This window comes from Homo sapiens, chromosome 1 (assembly GCF_000001405.40).
Source record: "Homo sapiens chromosome 1, GRCh38.p14 Primary Assembly".
Taxonomy (NCBI): Eukaryota; Metazoa; Chordata; class Mammalia; order Primates; family Hominidae; genus Homo; species Homo sapiens.
The window spans coordinates 14596140-14613282 of NC_000001.11; the positions used below are offsets into that span (position 1 = coordinate 14596140).

General features: G+C 46.2%; 1 protein-coding gene across 11 annotated transcripts in view, besides 1 other annotated feature; it reads left to right on the top strand.

Annotated features, from left to right (window-relative positions):
• Positions 1 to 17143, top strand: part of KAZN (kazrin, periplakin interacting protein) — a 1225220-nt gene that overhangs the window by 703316 nt on the left and 504761 nt on the right. For 6 of the 11 annotated variants that reach the window (XM_011541074.4, XM_005245795.6, XM_011541080.4 and 3 more), the window contains exon 3: positions 2844 to 3084. In XM_011541074.4, coding sequence (XP_011539376.1) covers positions 2844 to 3084 — 241 coding nt within the window. Of the gene's footprint in view, positions 1 to 2545; positions 3085 to 17143 lie in introns of those variants that run through there. The other 5 variants (XM_047415845.1, NM_001437721.1, NM_201628.3 and 2 more) reach the window with 3 other exon arrangements.
• Positions 3213 to 3372: a silencer, noted in NCBI's record as "silent region_292". NCBI's record gives its function as "represses an Ori minimal core promoter by ATAC-STARR-seq in GM12878 lymphoblastoid cells {active_cell/tissue: GM12878}" and the evidence as "EXISTENCE:reporter gene assay evidence [ECO:0000049][PMID:35858748]".

The following is a 17143-nucleotide window of genomic DNA, read 5'->3' on the forward strand; positions in this document are numbered from 1 at the left end:
GGGCTAGGGCGGCAAGGACGCAAAGATGAATGACATAAAAAGCCGGATAACCCTCCTTCCCCCACCCACAAGTTCCCAGTGAAGTGGGAGAGAGACATATAAACAGATAAATTACTGTTTCTTCTGCTGAGTGCTATACCAGAGGTGTGAGTGCACGCACACGTGTGCGCACACACACACACACACACACACACACACGGCCCTCTAAATAGAGCTACTCTTAACTGTTTGCTCAGAAGCCCTAGTTCCAAAACATTCCCATCCTCTCTATTTGTGTATTTGCATATATGACTTTTTGATTGAGGTAAAATTTACATAACATGAAATTAAGCCCTTTAAAGTGAACAATTCAATGGCACTTAGTACATTCACCGTGTTGTGCCACCACCACCTCTGTCTAGTTCTAAAACATTTTCATCAGTCAGCACAAAGTAACACCCGGCACCTATTAAGCAGTTACTTCTCATTCTTCCCTCCCCACAGCCCCTGACAAACACCAATCTGCTTCCTGTTTCATGGATTTATTTATTCTGGATATTTCATATAAATTGAATCGTATAATATGTGACCTTCTATGTCGGGCTTCTTTCAACTAACATAATGTTTTGGAGCTTCATCCACGTAGTAGTAGCATGTATCAGTACTCTTCACGGCTGAGTAATATTCCATTGCATACTGCAATTTGTTCATCCAATCATCTGTTGATGGACATTTGGGTTATTTCTGCCTTCTGGCTACTAATGAACAGTGCTGCTATGAACATTCATGTACAAATTTTTGTTTGGATATTTGTTTTGGACATATACCTAGGAGTGGATTTGCTGGGTCGTATGGTAATCCTATGTTTAACTGTTCAAGGAACTGCTAATATGTTTTCCACAATGGCTGCACCACGGCATCCCCCTTTTCAAGACCCACACAGCTCTGTAGTTTTGATGCTCTCCCCATAACGTAACTGAAAGACTGCAAAGAACTGAATCCTGGTTTGCAGATACACTAAGCAGTTCTAAGTGCCTTGGTTGGTCCAGTTGGTAAGAACTTGTGTTAATGAGGTTAAGGTCAGGGTTCGATCCCCGAACTGACCCATTAGCTGAGCAGAGCGGACAGAGTGAAGAATTGTGTCTTCCTGCCACATGCTCCACCATCAAATCCTGCCCTCTTGCAAAAGCTTGTTAGTGGTCACAGGGGAATGGAGCAAGACTGTTTTTATGGTTCCACAGAAAAGGGGGGAGAAATCTATCATCCAAGGCCTCCTGAAGGCGCAGCAGGAGGAACTTGCAATCAGATGATTACTTTCTTCCAGTCCCGCTGTCACCTGGTTTCTGCGGGCCCCTTAAGTAAATTGCTTAACCCTATGCAGAGCCTCAGTTTCCTTATCCCTAAAATGGGAATAATAATCCTCACTCACAAGAGATAAGAATGCATATAAAAGCACTCTACACGCAGTTTTTGCTTGGTTCTTATGGGCTTCCTGTAAGAACCTGAAGGGTGGGCAGCCTCATTTTTCCTCGCAGCACCCCACTGGCTTCTGCAATCTGCTCTTTGCTGCTCTCCGGAGGTTGACTGAGCTGGAATGATGGCGCCCTGTTGACCAGAGGGTTGCTGGCTGTTTTAAATTGTCCTATTTGCATGGAATGAAGTTTGCTATGGTAACAAGGTCTGGTGGCTGGAATCCAGGGCCCCAGTGAAAAATGCAAAGCCTGTGGTCTGGGAGAGAAAGAGGAGCTGGAGAGGGCATATCAACGTCAGGTTACCTCAGTTCTTCTGTGAAGAGGGGATGGGTAAACTGAGGCAGCAGGGCTCAACTCTTCTGCTCCCAGTAGAAGAAAGGGAAGAAGCCCCATCGACGCCTTCCTTCTTATCTCTCAACCTCATCTCTGTCCCCGCCAATATTCAGCCCGGCTAAGAAGCTTAGGAGCTGGCTAAGGCTGCTCCTCCACCTGGATGCACACACAGGGCTAGGGCTGTGGAGAGGCGGGAGCACCAGCGGCCCACGCCGAGGAAGATAGGCGCTCCCTCCTGGGGTGGGCAGCGCAGGTCTGGCCTGCGGGTGGGGGGTGGAGAGTGAGAGGCACGCGGGGCACCAGCTCAGCTCCCCTCTGGGGATTTCGTACTCGCAGTTTAAGGAACCGGTGGAGCACGAACTCCACTCCTGAGCTGGCGCAAGCGTCTCCCTTCCATGGAGATCCACCCCGGCTCCCCTCTGAGGCCCCCTTTCCAAGCACCCTCTCTTCCGAGCACCCAGCACCTCCCCAACCTTAGCACGGCTCGGGGCACCAGTTCTCCAGGGCGGGGGCTGCCCCACCGCTCAAGGGAGGGGACAGAGGGCCGGCCTCGGTCCAGGCGACCCCTGCCCCTCGCCAGGGGCGCCACCTTGGCCCCCTCCCGACTGCCGTCCGCCGCCTCCGCCCCCCCGGGGGGTGTGTCTCCGAAGTACGGGGGCGCGGGAGGCCAAGGGTGCCCCCAGCCTCCGACCGAGACCCCCTCCCGAGCCGGCGGCGAATGGTAGGCTCCATTTAAAGAGTGCCTGGTGGCGCGCGGTGTCCTTCTTGGAGCAGCTCTCGGCGCCCGCCCGCCGGGGTCTCGGCGATCGCTGCTCCTCCTCCTCCTTCTCCTCCTCTTTTTTCTCCTCCGCCTCCTCCCCCCGCCGCCTCGCCACCGCCGCGGCTAGGGCTGGAGGCGCCGCTGTCATTCCTGTGCCGGAGGAACCGGCGCTGCCGGTGCCTGGGGGTCGGGGCGCGGGCGAAGCCGGGCCGCGGAGGACACAACAGGTAGAGCCGGGGGTGCCCGGCCGCGCGCCCCCCGCGCATCATGCAGCTCTTTGTCACCTCTCTCGCCCCCAGGCCAAAATCCTGAGCATGATGGAAGACAATAAGCAGCTCGCGCTCCGCATCGATGGGGCGGTCCAGTCGGCCAGCCAGGAGGTGACCAACCTGCGAGCCGAACTCACGGCCACCAACCGGAGACTGGCGGAACTGAGCGGCGGCGGCGGCCCCGGCCCGGGCCCGGGAGCCGCGGCCAGCGCCTCGGCGGCGGGGGACTCGGCGGCGACGAACATGGAGAACCCCCAGCTTGGAGCGCAAGGTAGGATCGCCCCGGCGCCCAGGGCGGAGGAAGGCGAGCAGAGCACGCCCGGCCTCGGAGGTGGCCGGGGACCCGGGGTCCCCCACACCCGGGGCGAAATCGCTTTGCATTCTGGCTTGTAACCCTTTCCGCCCGGCGGTGGCCACCGCTGCTCTCCGGCTGGGAGTTGCAGGCTGCTGTCATTCACGAAAACCCGAGCGCAGTGTGCACGGGGTCACACGGTCACACCGGCCCCGGCCAGCCTGAGCGAGGCGCAGCCGGCGGGTCCCTTCCGGCATCAGAAAGTGCCCTTTCCGTGGCACCAGCCCCCTAGCTCCGTGCAAACTTTTCATGCCGGGGCCTTTTCCCCACCCCCCGCAGGGGTGAATGGCACAGTTCCCCCCACTTCCTTAGGCTCCTTCCCAGAGAGAGCTCCGGGCTCTGCCGCCGTGGTTGGGATAGAGGATTGCACTGCTGTGCACTTTTCTCCGCGGATGCCAAATCCCTTGGCTCAGTTGCATCTGGACTTTATTTTCTTCTCATTTGAGGTCTCTCAGGCATTGGAATCTATAGATGCAACAGTAGATGCTCAGCTCAGCAGGGAGTTTAAATTTCCGCAAATATAAACACCGAGAGCACTTTCCAGGGGGATACTGTAGACCTCAAAGGTTGAGCGGTAGAGAAATGAAGGCTTAGGGTGGTGGGCTGCAGGGAGCCCGTTTGAAGGGACTCTGCGGTTTAGAGAAGAGGAAGAAAAAGACAGTTGGTTTGTGTTCACATTGACAGAGATTAAGCTCTGAAACCCCCTGCAAGACATAAAGGCGGATGGGGCATTCCCTAAAATGTACTGTTTGGTTTCTGTGACTTAGAAAGTAAAAGGGTAAGCAGGCTTTGGGGGATTTTTTTTTTCTTTTTGCCTAATTGCCCTTTAAGAAACAGTATCACTGGTTATTAATATCATTTGAATTGCAAATTAAACTGCTGAAATCCAGAACAGGACAGAAACAAATCTCCAGTCCATGAGGTCCACTTGTCTAAATATGTCACTTGAAGTGCAAGGTACCAATTGCTCAGTGGCTCAAAATGATTTTCTGGTTCTGTTGTCATTTCAAGAGCTTCTCTTGAGGGTTGAGAGAGTCTGTTTTCCTAAGAATCTGGTTCTCTCCATCAGTCTCTGTTTCCACCTTATCTTCCTGGGAAGGTGTGCTTTCTTTGAGGTGAGATGTGAAGCCTGCCCACGTGCAGTTTTATGTCGAATTCCAAGTCAGATCTTAACTTGGTACTCCCGGAGCCTGTTGGAAGTCTTAGGAATTGGGGGGAGTACTTTGGTAAGGAAGTAGCCATGACGTAATGGTGAGAAGGTGTTGTGGTCCTAGTGCTTGCTGCAAGCTTGACATGTGGTTATTCTTGTCATCCTTGCAATGTCATTGTGTGCGAAAGAACATTCTCCACTGGAACCTGTGCAAAAAAAAAAAAAAAAAAAAAAGACAGACTGCAAGGTAATGCTTCACTTTTTATAGGCAGAGGCTCTGCTAACATTAAAGAAATAGCTAAGAACTGGCATTTTGCTAAGAATCAAAAGCTGTATAGTAAAGGACACTGAACAATGCTCGTTTATTTCCCACTGTCTGCCCCTTTCTCCGCGAAGGAAAAGTTAAGTGGCTTTTTATCTGAGTCCTGGGTCTGGTTGTAGACTGGGCAGGCTAAGGCAGTCAACGCAGTAATGATGTCCACATGCTCAACTTGAAAACTGACATACTCGCGGATGGTTAAATTGTTGTAGTGGAGCAACAGGGGGCTGATTCCTTGTTCTTTTTTCCTACACAAATGCACAGGGCTGTGGAAATGAAAATGGCTTTTGGATCTCTTGGATATCCTTAAAAACACATAAAACCAGCAGCTCCCATACGCTCTCAGGACTGTGCCTGCCCATGTCAGTGGCTGGCTGTGGGTGGTAGGATGAAGGGTGGTCTTGATTTCTCCTCTTTGTACATTGGTATGTCTCAAAATCTTTCCTAGGGGCACTTTGTGATTTTTATAATCAGAAAATAAAATGTTCAAAGGTTTAAACTCTACTTGATTGTTGGCCGCATAACCGTCTAAACTGATATGCATTTCAACAGATGTGATGGTTGAAAAGAAAACAAGCCCCCGTATAAGTTCAGTGGGGTATCATTTACTTGTCTGTAGCAACAGTACTTGATACATTATTTAGCCTCTGTAAGTTTGGGGGATTTTTTTTTTTTGATGGGGGCGGGAGTTGTTTTTGTTTGTTTTTGTTTTTTTCATAGCCTGTGGCAGCATCCTGCTAGCACAGAAACCCTCTGCAGAGGTGGTCTGGTAGTTTCTTTTGCCATTGCTTTCATTATCCTAAAAAGAAGCCTTGAGTTCTCACACAAGTTAATTTTAAAGTGCAATTGATTGGGTTCCACTTGATTCTTCGTAATACACCTCCAGGGAGGCTCCCAGAGGCTCAGCTCCTCAGGGTTTCTGACTGTTCTTCCAAATTAGTCTTGTGTTTTCATTTTGTCTGTGTTGGTGCAGTTCAATGGGCCCAGACCCTAAGAGTGTTTAAGTGCTATTGAGTTATCAGTTTTCAAATCAAGGTTTTGAATAAAACGAGTATCTTTGCATTTCAAAATGCAACCGTGTAAGTCATCTTTTAACGAAAGGGCATTATGCACATATTAAATGCATGCTAATGTAACTTTAACAATATTAGTACAAATGGTTTTGGGAAAGAGTCACCTTTTGCTTCCTCTGCCAAGAGACTGTTAGATTCATTTTCAAATGTTTTTGTTTTTGTTTTTTAAATTCTTTTTTTAAATGAATGAAGCAAACTCATCAATCCATCATTGGCTGTTTTGTTCCAGGGATGACAACGGGCAGTAGGTAGGTTGGTATCCCCTTTTGATGAAGAAAATTTGGGTTTTCCTAGCGGGTTAATGCAGTGTGTCATTTAAACAAAATATTAACTTGGTTGGTACTCCCTGTGAGCTGGCATGGTTGCTATGTAACAGAATCTAGAAAGTGAACTGCTGAAAATCTGGGCTTTCGGCACTTCGGAGGATATTCTTTCGGAATCTGTGTTGAAAGAATTCCTGGCAGCCAGCCCATCTTGTCTCTCCCTCCTGCAACTGAGTTGGATAATCCTTAATGAGAATGCTGGCGTACAGTGCAGAGGGCGTCCGTGCAGGGTGACACATTTCAGAGCTCCAGAGGCTGCCTTTTGGGTCGGTGGGGTCACGGCAGCCTTTGACAGGTGGACAGAAGGAGGCTTGGAAAGAACAGAGCCAAGCATTTGTTCCAATTCATCTTGTTGTTGGTAGCCAGAGAAGGGATTTGTTTAAAGTAACATTTCTAAGCTGTTTTCCTCAGCATAACATCTCTGGGAAAATGTGTTTAAAATGCTTGCTGTTCTTTGAGGGGAAAATGTAGCAGTTTGTTTCTCTGAAAAAGTTTTATCAGCTGATGAATGACTAATATTAGATTCAGTTGGTTGCTTTGCTATGCATAGAACAAAACAATTAAGTGCTATGGTACCCAATTCAAATAGGTGTTAACTGTATATAACAAAATACTTAATGCCCAGTAGGATGTATGCCTACTGTCATTAGTTTTCTTTGTTAAAGAAATAATTGTATTTGTATTCCTATGCAAGTGGACGTGCTGATAGCATCTTTCTTTGGTGTGGAGGACTTCCTGCCTACTGCATTTGTTAGAAGGGGATGGAGGCAAGGGTCGGTTTCCTGTACCTTTGTACATTTCCATAAATGCGTGCAAGTTGTATTTTTCTCTCCAGGCATTAAAATAGGCTGTTACTTAAGGCCTGACAGCTCTCATCTACCATTACTACAACACTGGAAACTCTTTCGTGAAGTATAAATTACCTTTGGAGTGAATTGAATGTGTGAGTAGTCTGTGGAGACGCTAGACACTGTCGCTTTGCAAAGTAAGTTCTGTCTTTTGGCATCCCCTTCTCAATTCATTCTGCCTCTGCTCTTGTTTTCCTAAGTAGACTTTTATCTTTTTTGAGAAAGAGAATTTTCAAATGGCAGAGAGGATGGAACAAAATGTTGGGGAATCTCGGGCCTTCTGTTAGCTTGCCACTAAGTTACAGAGCTCAGCAAGTAGCCTGCGCCATGGTTTTCCAGCCAGATCAAGGGGTTAAAATAGAGTGTGTCTTTTCCTAACCTGTCATGGGATGGGGATTCAGTCTTCTCCCTGAAAATTGTCATGTGTGGTCACAAAGAGATTACTTACAGATCAGTACAGTGTGGTTGAAATTACTTATTGATTGGGGATTATTTACTATCTTTCCATTGTCTTTGGAAAATGCCTTCAAAGGACCTCTTAAGTCAAGTCTCTGATTCTGGTTAATTTCATGCTTCCATTGTGCACTTCATGATTTTTAGTGGTTTTCCAACACCTCTTTGATGCACCCCAGAAGTCTGAGCTGACCTGACTCATCTAACAGGAGCCTGGTCACATATCTTTCCAGGGTAAGGCATGATAGGCCCTCTCTCCATCCCTTTACCCTCTTACTCCTCAAGAAGACTGTTGGCACTTTTTAGGAATCCTATAGGGTTATAATGTGTGACTTCCTGGCTGCCAGTGTGTTTGTAGCAGATGGGCTTGGCAGGTGGCAAGAGCTCATTGGAACTTTGCCTGCTCACCGTGCATATCATATGGGGCCCAGAAGGTCAAGCTTGGGATTTGGCCACATTCACTGCATGTTTTCTTTATGTATTATAAATCTATATATTCATTCCTGGGCTATGTAGGTAAGGACAGTGAAATCAACACGAACTCCTCTGTTCTTTCCATACCTTAATGGTTTGCCTGAACATTGGTCCCTGGCTTCTTACCCCCTGCCATATATCAGGGGGTTCTGCCTGCTGAGCCCAGAGAATGGGTTTTTAAGTGATGTTGCACGTGGAAATAGGTCTCAGTGTTTGGGCTGCATATTAGGGTGAGTAGCACAAAATATGGCAGGAGTGTCACCGCCAGCAGTCATTGCACTGCCTTGGTGCCTTGAATTGCAGGCATAGTGGGTTCAGAAAGAATGATTTAGGAAAAGACATCTTTCCCGAAGCCAACAGGGTGGCCATCCACAGGGGCAGATCATACCTGACGATTCATAGCAGCTAAGAGTTCTGCTGACCCCTGTCACCACTCTCCAGTTCCCCTGCCACCACCCTCCAAATCCCCTGCCAGGCCCATCTCAGTTGTGGAGAAGCTGGAAGAAGATCAGGGAAAGGAACGCCTTCTTCCTCCCCGTGTGGTTGCACGACACCAGAACATTCTTGCTTGTTTGATGCAACCTTGATCCAAGTGGTGGAGGCGAGGTTGTGCTCTGTGGGCACTCCTGCTACCCCCTTGGAGTCCTAGGCTGCTGGAAACATGAAAGAAGCTGAACATAGTTTTAATGAGTTTGGCAAGAACAACTGTTTGAGCAGGTGGCTGCTGTGTGGTACAAGATCATTGGGGCTAAATTTATTCTGCGGGCTTTGTTGGCTGGGTCATGTCAGACCCTTGGGTCAGGCTTCTGAAAGGTCCCTGCCCCTTTACTTTCTGATGAATTGAGACCTCAGCACAGGAGCTCAGATGGAGCTTGGAACAGGCAGTCCTGCAAGCAAAGAGCCCCAGGGCCTCTGCCCACTTCTCCAGTCAGGCTGGAGAGGGGAGAGAAGTTGGGGAGAGGAGGTGTCCTGCCCAGCTCCCTTCTCCTCTGTCCTCTTCCACCACAGCAAGCGCTATGTTACCTTTGTGGGGATGTAAAGGCCTTCCATTCCCAATATTACCTCTGCTCTACAGATTGTGTGAAGTAATGAGTCATTAAGAACAGAGCGCCCCTTTTAAAGAAGCTGATATTCTCCACTCATCTTTGCATACCTCACTATTATTATTCTCAGAACTTACCTTTTGGGCATGCCACAAGACGCTGGGGATTCTGGGACCATCTTGAAGCCTGTAGTTTCTTTCTCTTTGGTCAAGGTGAATAGTTTAATGTAGCAGTAAATGAGAACTGGTTTCATTGCTTTGGTCAAACTTTTTAATAAATAATAATATGCACTTACAATATATCAACTTCCCTGGCAAGCGCTTAACATGCATTATTGAATCCTGAGGCCAGCGAGGTGACAACTATAGCTGGCCCCCACCCAGCACAGTAAAAAATCTGTCTATAACTTTTGACTCCCCCAACACTTAACTCCTACTAGCCTACTATTGACCGGAAGCCTTATGATAACGTAAACATAGCATAATATAAACAGTTAACAGATAACATAAGCAGTTGACTTATACATACTTTTATGCCCCATGTATTATGTATTTTATAATTAAGTAGAGAAATCAAGTAAGCTAGAGAAAACAAAATATTAAGAAAATCATAAGGAAGAGAAAATATATTTGCTATTCATTAAGTGGAAGTGGATCATCATAAAGGCCTTCATCCCCATCATCTTCATGTTGAGGAGGAGGAGGAAGAGGAAGGGTTGGTCTCGCTGTCTCAGGGGTGCCAGAGGTGGAAGAAAATTCACATATAAGTGGACCTGCACAATTCAAACCTATGTTCTTCCAGGTCAACTATGTAATGCCCGTTTTTCAAAAGAGGAAACTGAGTCTCAGAGAAACTAAATCACTTGTTTGCAGTGAGATAGTGATGACTACAATGGGGATGATAGTAGCAGACTTCAGCATAGTGTGTACTCTGAGCCAGATACTGTTCTAAGTGATTTTCTGGATTAATGCATTTCAGGAATGCATTCAGTCTTCATAATGACTTATTGGGCAGGTACCATGCTCGTACCCATTTTCCATAGGAGAAAACTAAGGCACAGAGATGACACATTTACTTGCCAAAGGGCATATGGTCAGGAAGTGACCAAGCTCTGGCTCTAGAGTCTGTGTTCTTATTCATTCCACTTTGACATCCAGGATCACTCAACTGCCACATGACTGAGCCAGGAATGCAAACCCACTAGGTCTCTCTGCTGTTTAAACCTGTGTATGCTTCTCTGCCCTGCCTCCTAAGTCAGAAGCATCCTTTGGCTTGTTGCATTAGGGAGGTTCAGGGAGCTGTAGCCTTGTCTCTACTCCTGATTAAACTCCTGTTTCCCTAGACTGGTGGTAGTTCCTGGGTCCTTACGGTAAAGTCTTATGCTTGAGAGTTAGGCAATCAACCAGCCTCTCAGCCATCAACTGACAAAGAAGGGACTGGATTCTGTTTGCAAGACTGGCAGCCCAGGGGCCACTTATCACTAATAAAAAGGACTATTTTGATCCTGGACTTGGAGCCTCCAATTTCTTGGACTTCGTGTGTTTCATCTCTCTTGGGAAGGATGAGTCCAGGCAAAGCCAGAGTCTTGTGGCAGCCTTATTCTCCATCCATCCCATGTCTTTTCTTTTGCCTGAGTTCTCTCTCTGTGGCCTCAGTAGCCTCTAGCACCCCAAGACCATGCCCAACAGAGGACTTATTAACCTCAAACAGATACCTTCATGCTAGGGTTTCTTAGCCCCAGTACTATTGACATGTGGAGCAGATAATTCTGTGTTCTCAGGGGGCTGTCCTGTGTGTTGTAGGATATTTAGCAGCATTCCTGGCCTCTACCCACTAGATGACAGTAGAACCCTTCACACTCCAGTTGTGACAACTAAAAATGTCTCCAGAAGTTGCCAAATGTCCCCTTCAGGTCAAAATTATCCCTGGTTGCGAACTGCTTTTTATGCAGTGGTGTTAGGGGAGACTTCAATTGTTAGTCTTGGAATGACAGCTCTGTGAGGTCAGGGAGTTTTATCTATATTTTACTGTATCCTCACCACCTAGAGCAGTGCTTTGTACATAATGTAAGAGCTCAGTAAATACTTGCTGAATGAATAGATGGATGGATGGGTGAATACTAAATGATGGGGTGTGTGGACTTTGGTCTACTTTATACATGGTATCATGAGGATCATTGATTTAATGATAGATGATTTTAATTGAGTGCTTACATACCATATAACAAGCACTGTTTCAAATTCTTTACCTATAATACCTCAACGAATCCTTTAAACCACCTTATGAGGTAAGTACAGTGTTTGTCATTTTACAGATGAGAAAGTTGAGGCACACAAAGGTCACATGACTTGCCCAGGGTCACCGAGCTAGCAAGTGGCAGAGCCAGGATACAAACACAAGCCAGTGTGATTCCAGAGACTGCCTGGCGTCTCCACCAGGATGCTCTGGAGCTTGGCATCCTTTTTCCCATTACTGCCCAAGAAACTGTTATTGTTCTAATGTTGGCATTGTGGCAATTATAATTAGGATTTGCATGTCAGACACTAACTCATTCATCGTCAATCCTCAGAGTTCTGCTGGACAAAATATGCTCTGTCACTTCTGAAGAATCCGTAGCCAGCAGGGACTCCTGTCTGGCCAGAGGTAAGAGGACTGCTTAGTGCTGAGCCATGTTCAAACGTGAGAATCTCTTCTCTCTGCCTCACTGCTGGGCTGTGACCAAAGAGAATCGCAGAGGGGACTTGACTTTCCTACCTTTATGGGAAAGGGAACAGTGGACCCCAGAGCTTCTTAGTGGGGTTATGGCTCATTTTTAGCAAAAGGGATGTTCCAGGATCAGAACTGGGGAGGCAGAGTGACTTTTGAGATCATCCAAGGGGGCAATAAGAGCAATAGCCAGTGTTCGTTGAGGCTTTCCCAGATACTGTGATGAGCTCAACAAACATTTCCTCAATTTACCTTCATATTACAGAGAGTTAGATATTGTTATCCTCTCCATTCCACAGATGAAGACATTGAAGCTTAGAAGGGTTAAGTTGCTTTTCCAAGCTCTGGAAAGTAGTCCACTAGTGAACAGAAAAACAGGGGATTAGAACACAGGTTCACACGTTTGACTGACCCTGAAATCTGCTCGCTTCGTTAAGACGAGAATATCCAGATGTCACTATCAGGTAGCCCAAAGACATGCCAGTAGGACGGTTTTGCTATTTTGCTTAACGCCTTCCCTTCCTCTTTTTTTCTTCCTTTCTTCTTCCTCGCTTCTCTCTGTCTCCATCTATTGTGAGAGATTGGGCACATAGGCCCAGAGACCACAGATTTAATAAGATGGGGACTGAGTTATCTTGGACTCACAGCCTCATAGGTATAACTGACATGAAAACATAATTTTCTAATAAAGGTCTAGATGGGTGTAATGGAAAAATAGACAATGAAGTGACAAATACAGGAGCCTTCACAGATGTGCATGACAATGGTAATACGTAATAAAAACAGGCTGGAAAATACACTAATTTCACCACTAGGGGTTAAAACTGGCTGTGATAGATTATTAAAAAGTACAACTGTTTGGATAGATTGGAATTGGACACTGCAGAGAACAGCTACTACCTGGGACCTTCTCCCCCAGAGAAAGAGCGCGTCTTAAGGAGAAGGAAGATGTGGATGATACTGGGTTTAGATCTTGAATAATAGCTTTTCTGTCCTCTTTTCAAAGAGAGTTAAAAAAAAAGATGTGAATTTCAGGACAGGCATACCTGCATCTTTTAAAGTAAGCTCACCCGTTGTATCATCTTCGCAGCCAGGTCTCAGACTTCTGGTCAGCGGCAACAAATGAATTCGTTCATTTTCCTTGATTGACTTAAACATGGTGTATTTAAACCATTGAACATGGCGTATTTGCTTTAATTTGGCAAGTGCAACCTGGAACACAGTGGGATTAATGTCATCTCTTTTTTTTAATCCCCACTCCTGCCATTTGAAATTGGCAAGAATACGCTCACCGTTTCTTGATGGTGGCAAGGTAGGAGAGTTAGAAATTTGATACTGGGCCTGGAGAGTGCAGTTGTGGGACCATAGAGCGTGACAAATGACACTTGGGGAAACATGACCTGGAATTATATGTGTATTGATTATCTTAATTAATGTGCTCATCAACTGGATTGCTTTTCCTATTCCTATAAAGTTTACTATGTAAAGCAAGAAAAAACAGGACTATTCAGTGCATCTTGAGATTTGGGAGTTAACAGAAAGGCAAGGCTTGGGTGCCATTTTGTGTGGATGGTCAGCCTGTTCTCGGGCAAACATGCTCAGAGTGCCCTGTTTGCAATTTGACATGGTACCAGGCAGCCCTGCTGGAGGAGAAAGGCATGTTTAAGTTTTAATGGAAGTCCTGTAGAGAAGGATCATGATCTCATGGTCAGCTTCCACAGGCTGGGTCATTCTCATCAGCAACTACTAAAACAAAACAAAAAGCAACCTTGTTTAAACTCGGCTGATCAACACCACAGTTGGTTCTACCATGAGTCAACTCAAAACCCACCCTCTAACTTTTTCAGTGTTATCGCATTTATTCTAAAACAAGAGCTTGGTGGAACATCAATTTACAGAGCTGATGCTCAGCACCCTTTTTTCAGGATTCTCCTGCATTTATTCACTCTTCCTCTTTTCTTGGCAATCAAGAAGGTTCCTGGGAAGCGCTACAGTCTCTCTACCTAGACATCTCTTTGCAGAATCCAAAGACTTTCACAGGCATCATCCCAGTGGACCCTTCCAAGTGGTCCATGTGATTGAATTGAGGTAGACGCAGCAATCTATTTCTCAGCTCAGGAAACTGAGGCACAGCAATTTAAGTTGATTTGTCTAAGATTGGTGAGCTGGTTATTGAACCAACTTCCCCTCCCTTTCTCCACACTAAGATCAGGCCCAGCTGCACAGTGTGGGAAGAGAACTGCCCCATAGCTCATGGCTGGGTGAAGTCTGACCTTCGCTGGGCCACGCCCTCTTGGGCATGGGCCACTGCATCTTGTAAGGCCTGGATGGAGACACCATCACTTCAAGACTGTGCCCTCATACTCTGAGCCTCCTGTCCAATGAGTGGCCCACGATGAAAGGGGAATCCATTTTTACAAATGAATACAATTTTTTACACTAGATTCTTTCCTCATTTCAGTGGGGTTTTACAATCATCTGACTTCTCTTCCAATGACCTGTTTGTTTGTTTGTTTGTTTGTTTGTTTGTTTGAGACAGAGTCTCATTCTGTCACCCAGGTTGGAGTGCAGTGGCACAATCTCTGCTCACTGCAAGCTCCGCCTCCCGGGTTCACACCATTCTCCTGCCTCAGCCTCCCGAGTAGCTGGGACACGAGTGGCTGGGACTACAGGCACCCGCCACCATGCCTGGCTAATTTTTTTGTATTTTTAGTAGAGACAGGGTTTCACTGTGTTAGCCAGGATGGTCTCGATCTCCTGACCTCGTGATCGACCCACCTCAGCCTCCCAAAGTGCTGGGATTACAGGCGTGAGCCACCATGCCTGGCCCTAGTGACCTGTCTTCTTAATGCCTGAGCTTAGAGTTTCTCCTCTTCTAGTTTCCCTAACAAGCAGTTAGGGATCTGTAAACAAGGTCAGGAATTACACCAGGAGAATGTCCTGTTTATTTCAGTGGCCTAGATCTGACAATGGCTCCCCTGTGGAGAATTTTTTTTTTTTTTGTACTCTATACCATCATAATTTAGGATCTTTTACTCTGGAAAATACACCTGCATGGAGACTAGTGGATGTGTGTATTCTTTGGGTACCGGAGCCAGGATGTAGCAATCACAATAAATCTGCCTGATTTCTCTCTCTTTTTCACTATCCCTTTAGGGAGATCCCATTAGACCTTTAGAAGCTCTTTTATTCGGGTCTTTGGGTTAATATGCAACCAAAATATGTTGGTTTGAATTCTCCAGCTAACCCGTTGGTTGTTTAGATGCCTGTGGTCACTTTCGCTGTGGCTGTAACTGCCTGGACAGCAAGTGGTCCAGCTTCATGCCCAGATCCTGGACTCAGGTGAATGGAAGTTTATCCACAGATCACAAGCCAGCCAAAAGTATGGCAGAAAACTCAGGGAGATGGGAATGGGGCATTTTTTTCTGTGCATCTTAGAGGAATGGAAGGGGAGGTATCAACCCAGTGGTCTCTGCAGTGCAGCAGGTGACCTGCTGAGGTCCACTGACTCCTAAGTGGCAAGTCCAATGGCTGGGACTCTGATCTCTGTTTCAATTCCAGAGCAACAAGGAACGTTCTTCTGGGCTTTCCCAACTTCTGACAGCAAAATAGAAATAATAGACCTTGGAACTTCATTTGAAGATCTATTTATAATGGATTCTAGAAAAGTAGAAAGTATTTTTGAGGATCAAAATGTGTTGGGGCTTTTGAGTTTTAGGTTTGTATTAGAATGAAATGCATAAGATTATGCACCCTCCCGAGGTGGGAGGATTGCTTGAGCCCAGGAGTTCAAGATCAGCCTGGCCAGTATAGTGAGACGCTATCTCTACAAAAATCTTAAAAATTAGCTGGCCTTGTTGGCGCACACTTGTGGTCCCAGCTACCTGGGGGGGCTGAGGCAGGAGGATCAACTTGGGACCAGGAGTTTGAGGTTGCAGTGAGCTATGATTGCATCGCTGCACTCCAGCTTTTGTGATAGAGCAACACCCTGTCTCAAAAAAAAAAAAAAAAATTAAGATTTCCCCAAACTACTGGATATTATAGTTATTCATATAGGCATAGATGAAAGTGCTTCTTGTTTTGGTGTGAAGTTCATTTTAGTGCTTCCCCTTTGTGGCTTCAATAGTGGAGCTAGTGTGGAAGTTGGCAAACTTTTTCTATAAAGGGCCAAATAATAAATAGTTTAGGCTTTGGGCACCATAAAATATTGATTGCACTTCCTCAAATCTGCTGTTATAATGCAAAAGCAGCCATAGACAACATATAAATAAATGGGCATGGCTGTATTCCAATAAAACTTTATTTATAAAAACAGGTAGCTCTGAGGTGATCATTTGCCAACCCTTGGACATGTATTAATCGTTCTCGTTTATTTGTATCTGACCCAGCTCGACACACAGGAGGAGCTTAATAAATGGTGATGAATGAGTGAGCTAGTGAATTAAACATGAGCAATAAAACTACTAGATTATAGTACTAAAGGAGCAAAAATGAGAAGTTAATTACTAGGGGTGTTGTGGTTAATGGACAGGAGAGGAGACACTTGCTGCCGCTCAGTGGTTTGAGATGGAGTCACTTGTGTTCAGCCTTTATCACTGACTTCCCAAGACCCGCGCTCTAACCCCTGAGCTGTAGAGCCCTTGCCTTCATCACTGACTTCAAAAGAACTGAGAAGGGACAAGGAATCATTGGTCATGGTGAGATGCAGGGCGGGACACTTGACATCTGAGCCTCAGTTTCATTGTTATGAAATGAGGTCACTTCTATCTTCCAGATAATGCAGCAAATAAATCTGGGTTCAAGGGAATGAGCGAGGCCTGATTCAGATCCTGGTGATATGATGTAGGTACTGTGGGACATTCCAGCTCTCAGCTTCCTCATCTGGAACATGAGGCCGATAACACCTCTGTGGTAGAGTGACTGGGCTGGTTTCATGCAGGGGTCCTTGACCTCAGCACTGTAGACATTCTAGGCCAGATAATTCTTTGTTGTGGGGGCGGGGGTCTGTCCTGTGCATTTTAGGACATTTAGCAGCATCTATGCCAATAGCAACCCCATTATGTGACAGTCAACATCATCAGATAATTGCCAAATGTCCTTTTGGGGATGAAAGCATTCCCTGCTTGGGATCTGCTGGTTTAAGGGACTAACATACTGTGCCTGGCATGGAGTTTAGCAGACTTTGGGATCCCTTAGATAGAACTCTTGGTTATTAATAGTGCGTTGTATTATTGAACTATGAATTCTCTCCCCTTTGACTTACTAATAAAACCACTTTATTTCCTTAGCTGATTTCTGTCTCCCAAAGACAAGATTGGGTATTTTTTTCCAGAACCCAGGTCTTTCTCCTGAACCTTCTATGTTGCTTAGAAGCCTTGCTCCCAGGATGAGCCGAACTTCCTATGATGTCCTGTTGAGTGTGCGTCCTAGCCTTTTAATGTATAGGTACTCTAGACTTGCATTCGAGGTTATGGTCAGTATCACAAGTGATTCATACAAGAAATCATCCAGATATCTTCACCATGAACCAAAGGGAAGGGTACAGACTGAGAAGCTCAACTCACAGAGGCTGGCAGGCTGAGGCCGGGG